This window comes from Homo sapiens, chromosome 4 (assembly GCF_000001405.40).
Source record: "Homo sapiens chromosome 4, GRCh38.p14 Primary Assembly".
In the NCBI taxonomy this organism is placed as follows: Eukaryota; Metazoa; Chordata; class Mammalia; order Primates; family Hominidae; genus Homo; species Homo sapiens.
In genome coordinates this window covers 152,311,207-152,332,270 of record NC_000004.12, presented here as the reverse complement: position 1 = coordinate 152,332,270, position 21,064 = coordinate 152,311,207, and the positions used below count along the sequence as shown (strand labels likewise).

At 36.2% G+C, this 21,064-nt stretch overlaps 1 protein-coding gene across 16 annotated transcripts in view; it reads left to right on the top strand.

Moving 5' to 3' along the window:
• The window catches only part of FBXW7 (F-box and WD repeat domain containing 7), a 215,549-nt gene extending 203,822 nt beyond the window's left edge, over positions 1 to 11,727 (top strand). For 15 of the 16 annotated variants that reach the window (XM_011532085.3, XM_047415900.1, XM_047415902.1 and 12 more), the window contains 6 exons: positions 1,403 to 1,539; positions 2,486 to 2,599; positions 3,882 to 4,063; positions 6,040 to 6,265; positions 7,877 to 8,087; positions 9,122 to 11,727. In XM_011532085.3, the coding sequence (XP_011530387.1) occupies positions 1,403 to 1,539; positions 2,486 to 2,599; positions 3,882 to 4,063; positions 6,040 to 6,265; positions 7,877 to 8,087; positions 9,122 to 9,390 (1,139 nt within the window). In that variant the 3' untranslated portion in view covers positions 9,391 to 11,727. The remainder of the gene's footprint in view (positions 1 to 1,402; positions 1,540 to 2,485; positions 2,600 to 3,881; positions 4,064 to 6,039; positions 6,266 to 7,876; positions 8,088 to 9,121) is intronic. The other variant, NM_033632.3, reaches the window with a different exon arrangement.

Sequence of the window (21,064 nt, the reverse complement as noted above, 5' to 3'; positions counted from 1 at the left end):
ATGTTTATTGAACACCTCCTATGAGCCAGACATTTCTTCAAGGTGGGGGATACAGCAGTGAACTGAAGTTCTCTTTTGTCATGGAGCTTATGTTCTTGAAACCTGTTTTTTTCCTTAGTAGAGGAGTAGTTATCCTGTGTATTGGGAGAACTGTTTTTTTTGTTTTTGTTTTTTTTCCCAGCAGACATCCAGAAAAATATTTTTGAAAAAATATAAAAATACTATGTGCCTCAGAAGCAAAATATTTTAGAAAGAATCATAGAGCATGATGTAGGTACTCTATAGGTGATTATTCCCTTCATGGTAGTTATAGTCAAGTAGGAAGCATTGATGGTTAGTCCAGTTAATAAAGGTTTGAGGTAAAGATCCAGGGTGCTTGGTTTGTCATCCTGCTTTTGACCTCTGTAGGGCTTGGATTAATCAGTGAAATCTTCATTCTTAAGTATTTGCATACATAAAGTGGAATTAATCTGTGCCTTCCCTTCTTCCATATAATCATTTTTTAAATGATCTTTTAAAAATTGTGATAACATGTATGTAATTTATCAGTTTAACCATTTTTATATGTACAGTTCAGTGGCATTAAGTACATTCACATTGTTTTGCAACTACCATCTGTGTTCAGATTCACTACCATCTGTGTTCAGAACTTCATCATCTTCACATGAAACTCCATGCCCCCTGTTCTAACTCCCCATTATTCCTCTCCACAGCCTCTGGCAACCACCCTTTTACTTTCTGTCTCTATGAGTTTGACTACTCTAGGTACCTCATATAAGTGAAATCATACAATATTTTTCCTTTTGTAATCAGCTTATTTCACTTAGCATAATGTCTTCAAGGTTCATCCATGTCATAGCATGTGTCAGAATTTCCTTTATTCCATTGTGTATATGTATCTAATGCTACATTTTGTTTATCCATCTTTCGATGGACCCTTGGATTGCTTGCACGTTTTAGTTACTGTGAATAATCCTGCTATGAGCATGGGTGTACAGATGACTGTTTGAGACTCTGCTTTTAATTGTTTTGGTTATGTATCCAGAAGTGGAATTGCTAGATCATATGTTAATTCTGTGTTTGTTTTGGGGAACCACCAGACTATTTTCCACAGCAGCTGCACCATTTGCACAAGCATTCCAATTTCCTCACATCTTCACCAACATATTTTAGAATCATTTTGAGAAATGAAATAGTGAATACAAAAATATGCCATATAGAATGTAAACTTTACATTATTGCTACATACTGTGATAACAGTATTGGAAATTTGACAATGTCTTGCATTTCAGTGGTTTTGAGCAGAGAGATGGAATACTCTTTATAAAGATGGAATACTTTATAAAATGTATAACTGTTATTATTGGTGAAGGCAATTTACTCTTGAACTGTAACACTTTAGGGATTGATGAACCATTGCACATCAAGAGAAGAAAAGTAATAAAACCAGGTTTCATACACAGTCCATGGAAAAGTGCATACATCAGACAGCACAGAATTGATACTAACTGGAGGCGAGGAGAACTCAAATCTCCTAAGGTAACTGAACTCTGCACAATGTAACAGAAACCGTTAATCAGTGTTAGTACCTAGTGTACTATTTCACTTGGCAAACTGTATAATATGACACTCCTCTTCTGTAGAAAGAAAACCGTATATTTTAAAATAACTGAAAGTATTAACTGACAATATTCTTTTATTGCTAATTTCTCTAATCTGACAACTAATTGTGCTTGAATAAAAGATAAGTTAAATTGAGTATCTTTTTATCTTACGTAAATGAAAATCTCTCAATATCCTATTGAATTTTACTGTGTCATACACATTCTACCTAAGAATTTGCTGCCTCCTCTGATCACATACTCCAAACATGATTTTTTGAGGAGTGTCTGTGTTTTGGATTTGGTGACTTTTGTGTGTCTTATTTTTACAAATTGAAGCATAATTCTGGTTTTCTGTCTAATAACATTTCAAATACATAAAGAATGGTAAAAACACTTGAAATTATTGGGCGTATTTTTACAACTGGAAAAAACCAATTTGGGGAGACATTGTTATACTAATATGTATATATTATGATTTTTTTTGTTTTAAGAATGCTAATAATTGTTACTCTTTGTGGTTAATAGATGCTTATTTTGTTCTTGTGTGTCAAAGTTGTAAAAATTAGAGGCATATTCTTCTGGTTTGAACAGATGGAATAGATTATTGTCAAATACATTGGTGTTTGAACCATCTTTATGAGGTCTTGATGCAGTAAAACTTTAATAGTTGATGTTTTGAGTATAAATAATAGACTATGGAAACAATAAAATGTTTAATTCTGGATTCGTCAGCCAGGAAAAATAATGCTTTATATAAATTTAAATTCTAGAGATAGACTACAAATTACTGTTCCTGTTTATGCCTTCATTTTTCTCTTCACCAGTATTTTAAAGAACATAATTTAATTAACATATTTCTAATCTGCACATCTTTCTTATAGGTGCTGAAAGGACATGATGATCATGTGATCACATGCTTACAGTTTTGTGGTAACCGAATAGTTAGTGGTTCTGATGACAACACTTTAAAAGTTTGGTCAGCAGTCACAGGCAAAGTAAGTTTACTCTTCCTACACTTCACAAAGTCATAATTTTGTGTATATCATTGCAAGTAGCAACTGGAAAAAAGAAAACAATAATTCATTTTTGATTCTTAGTTATTTGGATAGCAAATATCAGAGCTCATAACTTAGCTTTTTTCCCCATATTTATGAAAGCCAATGGCATGAGGATAGTGATGCTTCTCATGATAGAGGTTTCATTAATTTTTTTTCATTTACATAGTTTGTCTATCTTTGTGACAGATACTTTAACATTTTCAAGGGTGCTTTATGTTTTTCTTGGCTCAATTTTTCCCCACTTTTATTTACTATCTAAGTTATACCTCATTACTTTGTAATGTTTTTCAAAAGTATGGTTGAGGGATATTTATTTTTCCTTATAAACTGCTTTGTTGATAACCTACCTGTAGTTTAGAACTTAATAAATCATGTTAATTTATACTTATCTCAAACCCTTGTGAGATGAGAGTGGACAAGGCATTTAAATGTTAAGTTTGAAGAAAAAGCCCAAGCAATCAGCTTGACTGTGTACCATATCATACCTTAATGATTCTCTAGTGAATATTTATTTTTATCTGTCCAGTAGAGAATATTTTCATGAATTAAGTAATTGCCACCTAAAAAATAACAGAAGAGAGTATGAAAACAAAAAAAAATCCATGTCTTTTAAAATGTCTTTTACCATGTTGCTTCTTGGCAAGTATCTTATAAATATTCCAAGTCAGATGTTAAAATTTTTTAAAGCAGCTTTATATTTCCATAGTGTAATATTAGTTTGGGATTTATTACAGGGCTTTAATGTCTGTCTTTACTTGTCTAGAAGTAGCTTCACTGGCTCCTAACTACTGCCCTGGGGCAGATTCAGATGAAATGTGGTATGTAGCCACACCCAATACTGTTGGCATACTTTCATTGAATCTATTCCCATGGAAGAAACCCAGTTGCAATTTCAGTATTATTTCATCAAAGAGGCCAGGCCAGAGCTATCATAACTGCTTTCATGTCGTGTTTCCTTTTTATTATATCATGTTTTATATCATATGTTTGCTTTCTACATACTACATACACAATTGCTTGTGCTTATATAAATTTATAATGCTTTTGAATAAACAAAACAATAAATAGTGATGGGATCATTTTATACGGATGTAATATTTTCTGAAGAGCCAAACAAATTAAATAAGTAACTTTACTCCAAATTTTAATGAGCTATTAAATTTTATTTAAATCACTTTTCCTTTCTACCCAAAAGTAATCATCTTAAGTGTTTTTCCAGTGTCTGAGAACATTAGTGGGACATACAGGTGGAGTATGGTCATCACAAATGAGAGACAACATCATCATTAGTGGATCTACAGATCGGACACTCAAAGTGTGGAATGCAGAGACTGGAGAATGTATACACACCTTATATGGGCATACTTCCACTGTGCGTTGTATGCATCTTCATGAAAAAAGGTAAGGGAAAATCTTGTCATGGTTGGGACTTCTTCCTCTATTATTGGTGAATTTGGGCCCTTTCTGTGTAGAGTTACTGAAATAGTGACAGTGTGCTCTTAAATTAGATTTAATTATTACACTTCAGATGTTTCTATTCTAGGAAAGCCATAGCGTTTTGTCTTAAAATTGGTGATTGTCTGTAAATTTCCTTTCTCATTTGCTAGTGTTGTCAGCTTCCTGTTTGAAACTCTCTACTCTCTAATCTCTAATCCTTTTTGTTGTTCTGTATCTTTGATGACTCATCATATTCAAGCAGAAATCATGTTTTCTCTCTCTTTTTTTGATATTCTTATTTCCGCAAGTGGGACAAATTCAGGCTTCAAGCGTCTGAGCCTTTTTAAATTACCTACCCACCTTACACCCACCCTATCTCTAAGTCTAGGCAAAAGCTGAGGCCTGTGGGTAATTTGTTCTCTCATTCTGAACTATTGTCACAGCTTTCTAACTTGGTTATCTTATGTTTTATACAGCTGACATATAGTCCTTTTATAATTATGATAGTGTCACTGCCCAGTTCTTAAGTCTTTTTGAGCCTACTGTTGACTAACGAATTAAGGAAGAAATCCTCGATCCAGTTTTCAAAATGGTTTCTGCCAAACTGGACTTTTTGACTTTCTCTTCTCAGTGCCTTTGCTGTTGCTTTTATCTCCTCCTGTAAAGCCCTCCTATTAAAATCCTATCTTTCTATTATCGTCATCATACCCCTGTTAAACAAGTGTGATTTCTACCTCATTTGTCAAAAAAGGTCTCTCTGAAAGGTCCTTACAGTGAATCCATGGCAGTCTTTACCTTTAATTCTGTCTATCGCATCTTCTTTATTAAGAACAATTACATTAAGCAGATTTCACACCAGATTTGTAATATGTGAAAAGGAGTACCTTTTCAATTGTCATTTACCTCTACTTTGAACAGTGTGCTATACTGTTAAAATTTGGGGGATGAGTATCAAGAGACCTTGTATTCCAGTTTCCATTATGTTCTCTCAACATTAGGTTCTCAATTAAAGGGTTCTCTCAACCCTTTAATTATCTACTTTTTTAAAATATGGAAACTGTGGTATTTCTTTATCTCTTCAGAATGACATAAGGATACCTGAGTTTTCAGCTTTGTTTTGTAATCCAAAAGTGATTACAGTATTTGTATATTGCTCTGGTTTTCAGAAGAGTATAGCGCTGATGTTGAACCAAATGTTTAAGGGATAGCCATTGTTTTTAAAGATGTACATATCTTTTAAAATCTTTATCTCTTAATATTTTTATAGCCTATTGCATATTTATAAATCTAATCATTAAAAGCATAAGCAGCCTGTGTTTGAGGACATGTCTAAAACTGGTTAATTTTTACTGGAATGTATAGTGTAAACACAAATCTGCAGCTGTTTAAATTCCAAATTCTGACTTGTTTTGTTGTATAAACTTTATTGAATTTTTTACCTAATCACAAGGGAATATATGCATTCATAATTGAAATTTTGGAAAATGGCAAAGAACATAAAGAAAATTTAAATTCTTTAAACCACTACCACCTAGAGTTCTCCCATTAACATTTTATACATATGCCCACATTAACATTTTATTTCTAAAATCAAAATCTTATTGTATATATTTAGAGGCAGCTTCTGCTGCTTTTTAAAAAATACAGTACAGTGGTTTTCAAACTCAGTCCCACAGAACCTTAAGGTGCTGAACCTAAGGTCCCCAGGTCAGGGAACCAAGCATGCAGCATTCTAGGCTTCCCAACTTCCCATTCCCTTATTATGTTTATATACCAAGGTTTTACATAGGATTTCTTTTGAAAATGGTTGTTGCTGTGTAAAAAAAAAAAAAAAAAAGCTAAAAAACCTTGACTAAATCTACCATGTTTTCTCATATTATTAAAAATTCTAAACGTGGGTTTTTTTGTTTTGTTTTGTTTTTCTGTTTCTCCCTCTGCAGAGTTGTTAGCGGTTCTCGAGATGCCACTCTTAGGGTTTGGGATATTGAGACAGGCCAGTGTTTACATGTTTTGATGGGTCATGTTGCAGCAGTCCGCTGTGTTCAATATGATGGCAGGAGGGTTGTTAGTGGAGCATATGATTTTATGGTAAAGGTGTGGGATCCAGAGACTGAAACCTGTCTACACACGTTGCAGGGGCATACTAATAGAGTCTATTCATTACAGGTAAGATCTCTTATCTCTCCCTTAAATGCTCTCCTGATGAATCATAAGGTTGTTTTACTCAGATAATCACTGTCAAATTGCTGATCCAGTACAGTCCAAAAAAGATTAATCAGATTATTCTGCTGTTTTTATATACGTTAAAATTGGCATGAAGAAAGTGTAAATTTCAAAATTATTTAAATGCTTTCAATTTTCTGTGATCTATTTCTCCTCTAAATACAAATATTTGTTTTGCAACCTGACACTTTGGGGCTCTAAGTTTTGCTATGTTAATTAATGGTTAAATAGTCTCATAGGAGAGTAACCTGGATTTTAAGAAACTCCTTTGCAGAAGATTAATATGGCCAAAAGCTGCCCCTTTGCTTTGATAGCTGAAAGTTGATGGACCATGTAATTGTGATTCCATCCCCATTCAAAGTGGAAATAGATCCTTTCTGCATAAAGCACTCTACTGTCCCAGGCCCACTGATTTGTAGTCATAAAGAAGTAAAGTTGACTAAACCGATTTCTTTTTTTTGGTTTATATTTCAAGCCCATATCCTTGAAAACATTGCCATATTTTGAGATCATTAACTAGATGAATAGGAAGTTTAGAATATGAATCTTGTTTTATTTCCAGAAAGGCAACATTTTTAATGTAAAAATATTTCCTATAGCTTATATAGTTTATTTACCAGTTATTACCCATTAATGTTCAGCAAATTAGTACATAATCTTAGTACTGTCAATTCTGTTCTTAGGATATTTGTTTCTTTGTCAAAGGGATATTGTCCATGTCATGAAATATTGACAATATGATAAAAATGTTTGCTAAATTAGAAAAGGTGATGAATTTGGAGGAAGGGGAATTGGCTGCACCTGTTTCTGATATGTTCAGAAGCTTAATGAATATAATATTCTAATTTAAATAAACTGTTTGATTGAGAAAAGAGGTAGCCACATTATTGTTTAGAAATGATAGACTGTTATTGACTTTTGGTGTAGCTGGGAAGCTGGAGAAGAGGTAGTATGTAGTTTGCTTTTGATTTCAAAATGCCACCTCTTCTGATTCCAGATACAATTATCTTTTGGCACATTTCCTAATTAGCATTAGGTTCTTATAAATGAAATTTTATTTTACACACAGTTTTTAATGGAACTTACTTTTGAACATCACGAAAGTTATCTCTAGCCCTTTTCATGCCTTAGGTGCTGATAAGCATTCCGTTTATCATAAGCTATGTCATTAGTCTCAGCTTCCTAGTGGGAAGTAAAACTCATAGCAATTCTCTCAGTCATCCATGATATATAGCTAGGTGGGGCCAGATGATTTGAAAATTAACATATTGTTCATTTTAGGTGCTTTGTTTTCATTTTAAGTTGTTTCTGCATCTAGTTTGAAGCTGCTTGGCATAAAGATGAGCCTTTCTGATAGAAGTGTGTGAGAACATACATTGTAGAGTTGCTTGATGGCATGCACTTTATCCTCATTGCCACTTTATCTTAGTACCTCATTTTGTTCCTGGCATTACCTGTTTCCCATCCTCTTCCCCCTTTCCTACTAGGATTAAGGTCAGTAATTGATAGGAAGAGTATCCATACTTCTATTCTAATAAACTGTGTCTTTTGTAGTTTGATGGTATCCATGTGGTGAGTGGATCTCTTGATACATCAATCCGTGTTTGGGATGTGGAGACAGGGAATTGCATTCACACGTTAACAGGGCACCAGTCGTTAACAAGTGGAATGGAACTCAAAGACAATATTCTTGTCTCTGGGAATGCAGATTCTACAGTTAAAATCTGGGATATCAAAACAGGACAGTGTTTACAAACATTGCAAGGTAAGTCTTACTCACCTTTCGTTTTGTTCATTAAAAATGAGATCATTATTCAAGAGAAATATGGAGCCTTAGCATCACAAAAAGAGTCAACCTCATACAGAATGGTTACTTCAGAAAAGTTTATGAATATTTTCACCCTGACTTACAGAACTAGTCTACTCTTGAGGAAATGTTTTAAACTGTGTTTTTAATATGTAATATAAAATTGTTTAATCACTTCCTGCATGTTCAATTGACTCTACTTAACCTTTAAGAACAGTGAGAAGAAAGATCTTGGCTATATCATAGAAGCAACGTACTCATTATATTTTTTGATTGACCATTGCATTTTGAATTTGTAGTCCAATTTTAAAGGGCTACCTTATTGAAAAAAACAACAGCATCCTTGATAGAAAATTTATTTGGCCTCCACTTAGTCACGTGCTTAACTGGAATGGAGAGGAATAATAGTGCCTACTAAAGTAGAGAAAGAAACAAGTGAAAATCACTAATATTAGATGAGGTACAGCAGTGCCTCATGATTAACTTTTTCTATTTGTTATAGCCCTTAGAAAGTGTTTTTTTCAGTGGGGCCATCTGATAGGCAACATTGCAGCTTTTTACTCATTGGTTTTGTCTCTCCTCAGAGTTTTGGAATAGTGACTGTTCAGCTTTGAGTGGTTCATGGTGGTGGGGTAATAGATCTCTTAGTGCTCATTTGTCCATCAGCAGAAGGTATGAAGTTGCACTATCTACATCCTCACCAAGGAATGCTGTCGTTCACACAGCCAGAAAATAAGATGTTTGTCTGGTAGCTAACCAAGCTTCTTGGAAGACAGACCTCTTGAAAGTTAATGTTTCAGTTACAAATCACTACCAGATTTTCTTACATCCATGCTGATCCTAAAATACTGAGGACATGGGTTTCTAAATATGTATCATTTCAAATGTTGCATTTATTGTATGTTCTAAAGTAGAAGTCTACAAATTATAATGTAACTAACTCATAGCCATTATTTCTAACCAGTAATTAAATTCTTTTGGTTTTTGTCTAGGTCCCAACAAGCATCAGAGTGCTGTGACCTGTTTACAGTTCAACAAGAACTTTGTAATTACCAGCTCAGATGATGGAACTGTAAAACTATGGGACTTGAAAACGGGTGAATTTATTCGAAACCTAGTCACATTGGAGAGTGGGGGGAGTGGGGGAGTTGTGTGGCGGATCAGAGCCTCAAACACAAAGCTGGTGTGTGCAGTTGGGAGTCGGAATGGGACTGAAGAAACCAAGCTGCTGGTGCTGGACTTTGATGTGGACATGAAGTGAAGAGCAGAAAAGATGAATTTGTCCAATTGTGTAGACGATATACTCCCTGCCCTTCCCCCTGCAAAAAGAAAAAAAGAAAAGAAAAAGAAAAAAATCCCTTGTTCTCAGTGGTGCAGGATGTTGGCTTGGGGCAACAGATTGAAAAGACCTACAGACTAAGAAGGAAAAGAAGAAGAGATGACAAACCATAACTGACAAGAGAGGCGTCTGCTGTCTCATCACATAAAAGGCTTCACTTTTGACTGAGGGCAGCTTTGCAAAATGAGACTTTCTAAATCAAACCAGGTGCAATTATTTCTTTATTTTCTTCTCCAGTGGTCATTGGGCAGTGTTAATGCTGAAACATCATTACAGATTCTGCTAGCCTGTTCTTTTACCACTGACAGCTAGACACCTAGAAAGGAACTGCAATAATATCAAAACAAGTACTGGTTGACTTTCTAATTAGAGAGCATCTGCAACAAAAAGTCATTTTTCTGGAGTGGAAAAGCTTAAAAAAATTACTGTGAATTGTTTTTGTACAGTTATCATGAAAAGCTTTTTTTTTTTTTTTTTTGCCAACCATTGCCAATGTCAATCAATCACAGTATTAGCCTCTGTTAATCTATTTACTGTTGCTTCCATATACATTCTTCAATGCATATGTTGCTCAAAGGTGGCAAGTTGTCCTGGGTTCTGTGAGTCCTGAGATGGATTTAATTCTTGATGCTGGTGCTAGAAGTAGGTCTTCAAATATGGGATTGTTGTCCCAACCCTGTACTGTACTCCCAGTGGCCAAACTTATTTATGCTGCTAAATGAAAGAAAGAAAAAAGCAAATTATTTTTTTTTATTTTTTTTCTGCTGTGACGTTTTAGTCCCAGACTGAATTCCAAATTTGCTCTAGTTTGGTTATGGAAAAAAGACTTTTTGCCACTGAAACTTGAGCCATCTGTGCCTCTAAGAGGCTGAGAATGGAAGAGTTTCAGATAATAAAGAGTGAAGTTTGCCTGCAAGTAAAGAATTGAGAGTGTGTGCAAAGCTTATTTTCTTTTATCTGGGCAAAAATTAAAACACATTCCTTGGAACAGAGCTATTACTTGCCTGTTCTGTGGAGAAACTTTTCTTTTTGAGGGCTGTGGTGAATGGATGAACGTACATCGTAAAACTGACAAAATATTTTAAAAATATATAAAACACAAAATTAAAATAAAGTTGCTGGTCAGTCTTAGTGTTTTACAGTATTTGGGAAAACAACTGTTACAGTTTTATTGCTCTGAGTAACTGACAAAGCAGAAACTATTCAGTTTTTGTAGTAAAGGCGTCACATGCAAACAAACAAAATGAATGAAACAGTCAAATGGTTTGCCTCATTCTCCAAGAGCCACAACTCAAGCTGAACTGTGAAAGTGGTTTAACACTGTATCCTAGGCGATCTTTTTTCCTCCTTCTGTTTATTTTTTTGTTTGTTTTATTTATAGTCTGATTTAAAACAATCAGATTCAAGTTGGTTAATTTTAGTTATGTAACAACCTGACATGATGGAGGAAAACAACCTTTAAAGGGATTGTGTCTATGGTTTGATTCACTTAGAAATTTTATTTTCTTATAACTTAAGTGCAATAAAATGTGTTTTTTCATGTTAGTATGCCTGTTTCTTCCACTGAAGTAATAATCCTTCATTATAAGTATTTAGGATTTGTCTATAATATTTAAATAAGCAAAATCTTGGTTTCTTTGCATCCTGCTGTGTGACATAGAAATCAATACTTCAAGCCTGTTTTATACCGCGAAAGTAAGGATAATGTGCTGCAACTGCAAATTTTATTTCTCTCCTAGACTATGAAGGAGGACACTCCACTGTGCTCATCTCTGTAGATTGCATTGGGGTGTATAAATATGAAATCTGGTTCCCTCAAAGAATCCACAAAACTTTTGTGATAATTACAACTAGAAGCCTTATAAATAACAAATTCATTTTGAAATTTTGACCACATATTAAGTGCTTACCCTCGATACTTTCTGTTCATTCTCTCTTAAGCTCCCACTATCCCTGAGAAGTAGGCACTATTATCTCCCATCTTAAAGACGAGCAAAAATCTGCAGCTGAGACTGGTTAGGCAATTTGTCAAATCATAGAACTAGCGGAATGCCAGAACTCAAACCCATATTTCCAAAGACTAAATACATGCTGCTCTTTAAGAAAGTTTGACAGACTAAAGCAAGGTTTGAGAGGGAAATAAGCCATTTTTCTGGTACTTTCTGACTGTTCTGTAGCCGTTTTGTTCAACAAATCTAAATTTTATAAAATCTAAATTTTATGATGTAAGGGGAAAAAATAAAGTTGTTTTTGAAACTAGTTCTAAATATATTTAGTATCTCAAATAGCAGGAGATATATATATATATATATATATATACACACACATATATATATACACACATCCAGTAATCTCAACTAACCAGGCCGTAGATGAAAATATAAAAGCTACTGAAAATGGACTCCCCTTTTTCTCATAGTCATAAAGTATGTGTTCTTTACTCATAGGGCAAATCCTGGGCCTCATTCTCCCAAAGCTACTAAATCAGAACACCTGGGAGTGTGACCCAAGAACCTGCATTTAAACTAGCTCACCAGGTGAGTTGTGGATACTAAAGTTTCAGAACCATTGCTTTAGATACCATTCCTGTACATTTGGTTATTTGGTTTATTAGTCCACAGCAAATTACAGACACAAAAATAGCAAGGAAAAGTGACAGGGTAAAGGAAAAAAACAAAAAACTACCTGGTTGAATGCAAGGCAAAAATCCTACTAGGCCGTGAAGTGCAGGGTCTTTAGAGTAAACCACGTTACTGCCCAAACCGTGACTACTGTTCACATTGATGACTGTGAATTGTCAAGAAAAAGTTGTAATTCTATTTGATAGTTCTTGAAACTGCTTGATTTTTCATAAGAGCATATAAATGAGGCTTAACTAGAATATAATTGAAGAGAAACATCCATTTTTAGAACTTTAGAGAATAGAATGAGTTCACAGGCTTTGCAGACAAATAGCCCTGAATTCATCTCAGTTCTAGTATGGTCTAGTTACTGGGACCTTTATCATGTTTCTTGACCTCGTGTTTCCTCATTTAAGATGTAGAGGATACCCATCTCCTAAGGTTATTATAAAGATTAGGTGAAACGTAAAGCACATTGCATACCGATGGCATTTAGAGCTCAGTAAATGGTAGCTTCTATTAAAAATTTTAAGTAAATAGACCCAGATAACTTTCTATATTAGAGAATTGAATGTATTTGTTACTCAGATTATGTAATAAAAATAGCATACACATACACACGTGTGCACACACACACACAGCAGTCCATTCTTTTACGTGGAGCCATCTAGATTCTCATTTGAGTTTTACAGAAACCTTGTGAGACAGACTGATATTGAGCACCTAACAGTGGTTTTGTATATACAGTCATCCTTCAGTATTTGGGCGGGATTGGTTTTAGGATCTCCCCAACCTCACCCCCATGGATATCAAAATTCATGGATGCTCAAGTCACTGATATAAAATGGCATAGTATTTGCATGTAACATATACAAGCCCTCCCGTATGCTTTAAATCATACCTAGATTACTTATAATACCTAAGACAATGTAAATGCTATGTAAATAGTTATTATACTGTATTGTTTAGGGAATCATGACAAGGGAAAAAGTCTGTACATGTTCGATACAGACATAGCCACCCTTTTCAAATATTTTTGATTCTCGTTTGGTTAGATCTGTGGATGCAGAACCCACAAATAATGGAGGGATGACTGTGTTTAGGTGTTCATTAAACATCATTTTATGAATAAATGAATAATCTTTATTACAATAAATCTTTGCTTGAAGGGAAAATGTTAGCATCCTTCTACAGGAATCAAAGTATAATTGTTGTAAAAAGGTCACTAAGAAAACTCCATTTTGTGGCCTTTTTAATGAAAAACTTTACCACCTCATGTAACTGTACATTTTAAAATCTTCATAACAGATATAGGCACACTTCATATTTAGATGTTACAAGTTCCCAAATATCAAACATTGCCTGAAACTAAGGCTGAAATTAGGACACAAAAGTAACCCATAAAAGCCAGTAGCAGGTACTTAGTATACTTGTTGAACTGAGCAGAGTTGATTATCTCATTATTTTATATTAGAATTGTTTATAATTTTGACACTTTGAAACCCCCTTATTGAGATTCAATTACCACAGCTATTTCATTAGGTTGCAAAAGCTAATGCCTACCAAATGGTAAGTAAATGTTTCAACCAGCCTTGTTTCATTTCAGAAAAGTAATTGACATTTAGTTATTTGTATTAACTGCTTTAAGCCATTTTCTCTACCAGCTTTGAGCTAGTCTGTTGTAAACTCTTCCATTTCCCTGAATTGATTAGAGGCTACAAAAGACCTCTTTGCTTTTCTCTTCCCTAAAGTGAAATGGGGATCAAGGGCAGCTTCCCCAGACCCAGCTGAGCCCTGGTTTTCTGTACACTTCTCCCTGAGATACACGTTGCACACTGTGAAACAAAGGTACGGAGGTGAAGGAGAGAAGACATCTCAGAGGCGCCTACTCACCACTGTCCTTGCCCCTGTAACTCCCTCTATTCCATGTTGAAACCAGAAACATGAAGCTCCGTTGCTTTGCATAGCAGAAATAGATTCACATTACATTTTTTTCTGATTGGTTCCCTCCAGGAGAAGGAAAGTTTTTGAAATATTTCTCCCCAATGAATACCGCCCTCAGACACAAATTTGTTTTCATTCTTTTAGTCATCTCCGGCCCCAATAAAAGTCAGAATTGTAACCTATACTCCTTCAGGTTCATCAGCCAATAAAGGATCCTGCCTTGTCCCTTATAGCAATTGGAAGAGAACCTCCTATTTTGCAGTGCCATTTGTAATTCTAATAGTAGCAGTGGCTTAGGTTTGCTGATGAATGAATTTGAATAAATGCTTCTGACACAGATTGTTTTAATGTTCTCTGCCTTACTGCATTTTCAAGATGGCTTTTATGTGTGTTTGTGTATGTGTTTACACATAGTTACACATACATACACAAGAATATTTTGGAAACTGAGAATAAGCCTCTTGTTCTTATTGAGTCATACCATCATTCCCTTAGGCCTCTTTTTTCATCTATCAAAAATAAGGAATGGGTCATAAAGGGAAGGGGTTGGTGGCCAAGAGGAGACTTCCTAATATTCCTCTCCATGATAGATTAGTGGTCTCTATGTCTGAAGAGAATGTGTGTGCATAATGTTCCTGGAGCCCTGCATCAAGCAACCATATGGTAATTTGAAAAGTTGATGCATAATTTTTGATTTGGGCATTTTCTGCTGCCCAGGAGATGGATATGAAGTTAGATCCAAAGTAGCTGCACCCAGCTCCTTTTTGGGGGAGTGCCTAGTCATTGCTTTGAATTGCAGACAACATAGCAAGATCTGTCATTGTTGACTAACCAACATGTCCTATCCATTCAGTTAATACTAGTGATGCCCAAATGAGTGAGGTTCTTGCCAACTTTGTACCCTGCCACCTTCTCTTTCTAGGTTGAATGAGACAAAAAATTTCAAGGGTTCTTCAGGGAAAGGAAAAGCATCAGAAGCTGAAAGGATTCAGAATGCACCTTTCACCAGAGCGTGAAGTATAAACAAATTCTAGATCCAGTTCCTAGGAAGACTCATTGCTGAGACAAAAAGCCTGGCAACTTCCCAATTTGCAATTGGGTATAAAAATAGCAGAGTTTCTATTTCAGATGATCTGTTTCTCCCCAGGATTCTTAAGGACAAGGAGCCACTGAATGGACATTTTGATGTTTCATTCTTTCCTTTGGAATATCTGTGATGGCAAAACCTGTGAAGGCTGTTTGGATTCTGTTTTGCTTCAGCGGCCGTGCTCTGCAAGTAAAATTATTTTGAAGCCACTTGCAAATCAAAGATTCAAATGTAATAGACCACAAAAGTATATTGCCAATTTACCCTTTTCCAGGAGGTTAATCAATTATAAAAGAGACATTAAACCCTGCTACTCACCTAGAGGGGAAGGTTATTTGCAGGGCTTTTTAAACTTAGTTACAGCCACTAAGGATTCATCAGACCCTTACTCCTTACTAAATGTAGTTGGAAAAACTAAGTCTTTCAATTTGAGTATGCTCTCCACTCCTTTAAAGGGAGTTTGAATAGCTTAAATACATCCAGCAAGAACACAGTATGGTATAAAGAGTAAAACTGCATACATCTCTGGTCAGGGTTGGATCTGGGTTTCGGGAGCCTAAAGCTTACAAACTTAAGGACTCTCTTAAAAAAAAATACAATTAGATCCAAAAATAAACATTTAGAATGAGAAAGATGATAAATTACTGAAGCCTAGAAGCCTAGGAAATGCAGATCCTTCTGAGATTTTTTTTTTTTTTTTTTTTTTTTTTTTGAGACAGAGTCTCGCTCTGTGGCCCAGGCTGGAGTGTAGTGATGCAATCTTGAATCTCGGCTAACTGCAACCTCCACCTCCTGGGTTCAAGCAATTCTCCTGCATCAGCCTCCCGAGTAGCTGGAATTACAGGCGTGTACCACTAAGTCCGGCTAATTTTTTGTATTTTAGTAGAGACAAGGCTTCACTATGTTGCCCCCATGGTGATCTCAAAGTGAGCTCAGGCTCAGGTAATCCACCCGCCTTGGTCTTCCAAAGTGTTAGGATTACAGGCGTGAGCCACCAAATAAGATCTCTTTAGGCAATTATCAGAAATGCTTCAGATTGCAGCCTGGCTTCTCTTGCCCACCTGAAATACTACAACTCCCAGCAACCCCTAGCTCTCCCAGGGATCTGTTAAATGAGGGCCTCAAGATTAGCTTCATCAGTTTCAACATGAATCCATGTCTGCCTGTCTCAACTTCTGTGTTTTACCCCATCTATAAATGAGGAAACATTATGAGGACTACGTAAGACCATGTATGGCATAGTGCCTGGCACATAGTATTTGTTAAAGAGTTGTTTGTTGTTATTACCTGTAATAAACTATCGTAGCTAACTGCCATTGTGCACTTAACACTTAGCATGGCTCTAAATATTTTTAAATTATTAATATTCTCAACTATCCCATGGCTTACTATTATTATTAATACAAAGTCTCATTTTACAGATAAGAAAACTGAGACACAAAGATACCAAGTAACTTGCTCAAGGACACAAGAGGAAAAAAAGGGGGGCTGGCATGTGCAGTGGCTCACACCTGTAATCCCAGCACTTTGGGAAGCCAAGGCAGGAGGACCATCCAGGAGTTCAAGACCAGCCTGAGCAATATGGTGAAACCCCATCTCTACAAAAAATAGAAAAATTAGCCTGGTATGGTGGCACGCATCTGTAGTCCCAGCCACTTGGGAGGCTGAGGTGGGAGAATATCTTGAGCATGGGAGGTTGAGGCTGCAGTGAGCTGTCGTTGTGCCACTGCACTACAGCCTGGGTGACAGGGCAAGACCGTGTGTCAACAAAACAAAACGAAACTTGGAGAAACTGGGATTTAAACCCGGGCATTGAGGTTCCAGAACCCAACCTCTTAACCACTATGTTATATATTGATTCACAACTGCCTTGAAAATACAGGAACACGTAGTATCTCATAGGTCATGCCAGAAAATGATGTAGTCCTCAGCCTTGACCTGTCAAACTAGAAGCTGACATAAAGCTATTCAAGCAAGTGCCTGGTTTTCAACAGGGGAGGCCTGAAGAAAAAATGTGTAGTAGATTCCTGGTATGGTTTGGCTGTGTGAATCCCCTCCTGCTTTTTTTCAACTGCAGAAACAAAAGAGAGTGAGTTGCCTAAGAAGAAAGAACCTACTCTAAGCCATCTCCTTAGTAATGAAATTTTAGGAAAAGTAGGTAAAATTGCATATTATTAAAAGAAAGACTACTACCAGATAATTCAGGAGGAAAGAAATGCTGTTTCTACAGAAGATGGATACTTTCGTTACATAAAAAACGTTAAAAATAAATAAATTCACCATTGATGTACTTGTGTTCTAAAGACAACTAGGCAAGTGAAGGAGCAAGCTTGTATGCTGTATTGTCAGGAAAGTCAGGACCATGTAGAACTTACACTGATACCTAGCAAATTCTCAATAAATGTTGCAGCTATTATTATTATTTTATTATGAATCAGGAATGAGGAAGACAGTTGAGTTCAAATTCCATCTCAGCCGCTCATGCAACTCCGAAAGGATTTTAAAATCTTTCTGAACCTCTTTCATCATCTGTAAAAAAGAAACTGTTGTGAATGTTACATGAAATAACATAAAGCATCTGGTACAGTACTGACCTAATTATGTGTTTAATGAATACTAGCCATCTTTGTTATTATTACTACCACTAACAAGATATCGGTAACTATGTTTCAGGTTACTATTTCAAAGTTTATCTGGAAGAGGAAATCTGTAAAATTTCCAGGACGCAATGCTTGAACTGCCTCCCAAAATGTGCCGGGAACCTAAGACAGTAGTCTCCCCTGTTAGAAGGCAATATGCAATCCCAGCTGGGTGCAGTGGCTCATGCCTGTAATCCAGCACTTTGGGAGGCCAAGGCAGGTAGAACACCTGAGGTCAGGAGTTCAAGACCAGCCTGGCCAATGTGGTGAAACCCCATTAATACTAAAAATACAAAAATTAGCAGGGCATGGTGGTAGGTGCCTGTAATCCCAGCTACTCGGGAGGCTGAGCCAGGAGAATCGCTTGACCTCGGGAGGTGGAGGTTGCAGTGAGCCGAGATCACATCACTGCCTGGACAACAAGAGAGAAACTCTGTCTCAAAAAAAAAAAAAATGCAATCCAGTCTAAAATGACAAATTATTTCTTTCTCTCCAAAGAACCTATTTCAATTGAGAAATCTAAAAATCAGTACCCCAGAAAGGAAGCAGGAGAAGAGAATCGAGTAGACAAAAGATTTCATCAACTTTGGATGTAGGAAGACAGATGTAGGAGTGGATTACTCTAGTTGAGTAGAGTATAAAAGCTACAATCTAATGTGCCCAGAAAGGGGGATACAAATGAGAAGCAAGCTAATTCCTTTTCTGTGAAAGGCAAAGGTAAGACAGGAGCTGAAAACTGGGGGACTAGCTGAAAAGGAGAACACATGGAATGATTGGAGCCCTACATCCTTTTCTCAGCCAGGGGACCACCTCTGTGTTACCCCCTATCCCACTACCCACTTCACCCCACCTTGCACTGAGCACACAGGCACAGAAGAGGCTCAGAAACAAAAATGGAGATTACATTCTCCCTAACCCTCTCCCAGAATGCCAACAGTCTGAAATATACCAGAGGATTCTTTCCCAGAGAAGTGAACAACCTGAGAGAAAAAGTCTCTAGATACTGGCATTTTATTGGAGGACTCCTTCAGTGAAACTGCTGGCTCCCTACCCAATCAGAGGAGAAATTTCTCATTCTAAGAGCCCCAACCATACAGAGCTTCCTATTCACTTTTTAGCATCTGTCTCTAAAATATGAACAGATAGTCAAGAATCAAAGAACGTTTGAGAAAAGACTCTGATTTAAAAGACTAAGTAAGCCAAAAACTCATGAAATAAACTTTGAGAAAGAAAGTTTTATACCCTCAAAAAGATACTGCATCTTATAATATGGGAACAGAATACATTTTTTTTTTTTAAGACACAGTCTCACTCTCTCCCCCAGGCTGGAGTGCAGTGGCAAAATCTCAGCTCACTGCAGCCTCGACCTCCCCAGGCTCAGGTGTTCTTCCCACCTCAGCCTCCTGAGTAACTAGGACTACTCATGCCACCACACCTGGCTAATTTTTAATTTTTTTCTAGAGACAGGGTTTCACCATGTTGCCCAGGCTGGTCTCAAACTTGGCTCAAATGATCCATCCACCTTGGCCTCCCAAAGTGCTGGGATTATGGGTGTGAACCACTTTGCCCTGCCTAGGATACAATTTTTAAAAGAGCTCATGAAAACTAAAATATAATGGAAATTTCATAAGAAAACCTTAAACTGAAAATAAAAATTGAGGAAATCAAACAAAAGTTAAAGGAAGAGATGGAAATTAGTAGAAAAAATATTAAAAACTTAGAGGATCAGTCTGGGACATCTGACATTCAAATAACAGGGTGTCCAAAACAGAAAATAGAAAACAAAGAATAGAATGTTTTTAACTGCAAGAAAAATGAACAGAATTGGATGACAGAAAACCCCTAGATGACAAGGACCCACTGGGTGCCCTTTGAATAAATGAATGAAAAAAAACTGCCCATCCATGTTCATCATTATGAAATTTTGAAGCACCTAGGCTAAAAAGACCTTCCTAAAAACTTGTGGAGAGAAAAGTCGGGGTTAAATAAAATAAGAATTGGAATTTTGGACTTCTCAATAGCAACATTGGATGCTATAATAGAAGACAAAGTCTTCGAAATTGTACAGGCAAAGTATTTTCAATTTAGAATTTACACCAGCCAAATAATCAAGTGGGAGGGAGAATAAAGACATTTTCAGCATGGAAGGACACAAAGCACTCCCTCTCAGAAACCTTTTCTTTCTGAAATGAATATGTGGTCCAACAAACCACAATCAAGAAAAACGTGGCAGAAAATAGGGATTTTAACACAGGAGATGGGTGAAGGGAGTTCTAGGATGGTAGGTGGGCATTTGAATTCAAGAACTAGCAGTTGAGGTGTAAGCAGGGAAAGTAATGGAAGAAACATCCCAAGCGTACAAAAGGAAATGATAATCATCTTATTATCATGCCAGAGCTTTTAGAGAAAAAAAGTCTCAGCGTTCCGAACAGCTGATGGTACACTTAGAAATTTTTTACGGTTCAACATATAAAAAGCTATGCAACAGATAAAAATAAGGCAATTATTAATTTTTAAAAGTATGTTTAAAAACATAGTATACTAGTTAGCCCTAGAAACTATACTAAACTATATTTATGTAGCCATAAAAATGTAAATACTATGATTATGATTGCTAAAACATCAGTGGGGGGGAGAGGATAGTAGAGGGAGAGTTAAATCCTCATCTACCATAATTAGAAGTTATTAATGTCTAAAATGAAAAAATAAGGTGCACATATTATATAAAGATGGGACATATATATATGTATATATCAGAAGAGTTAGCTAAAAGTTAAAAATATTTGCCTCTATGGTTGGGGGGAAAGTGGAGGGTTATAGCATTTTTATATACTTTGAGTATTTGCATTACTTTGCTAGAAATATATTTTTTAAAGCAAGTTCCCCCAACACCCTCTGCAAAAAAAAGTCAGTATGGCAGATTTCAGAAATAGTGACCTTTCTTTACCCATGCCAGTAGAATCCATCAACAAGAATGATCTATCTAGTCAGTCTCATGTCACAAAGAGGGCCTTAGGGGTGCTCTTCCTGGAGGAGTTGTATAGCTAGATAGAGGCTAGGATGGAATCCATGTGTGGGCAAATTACCTCAGTTCTCTGGTCTCTTGTTTCATCTGTAAAACAGGCACAATAATAGTCCTAACCTCATCAGGCTGCTGAAGACTGAACAGATGATGTAGGTAATGTGCTTAGCATAGTCTCTGGCTCATGAGTTCTTAATAAAAAGTACTTGATAATATCACTGTTAGCAGCATTCATCAGTCTCAAGGTGGAAACCATCATATATTAAGATCTGGAACTAGCAGA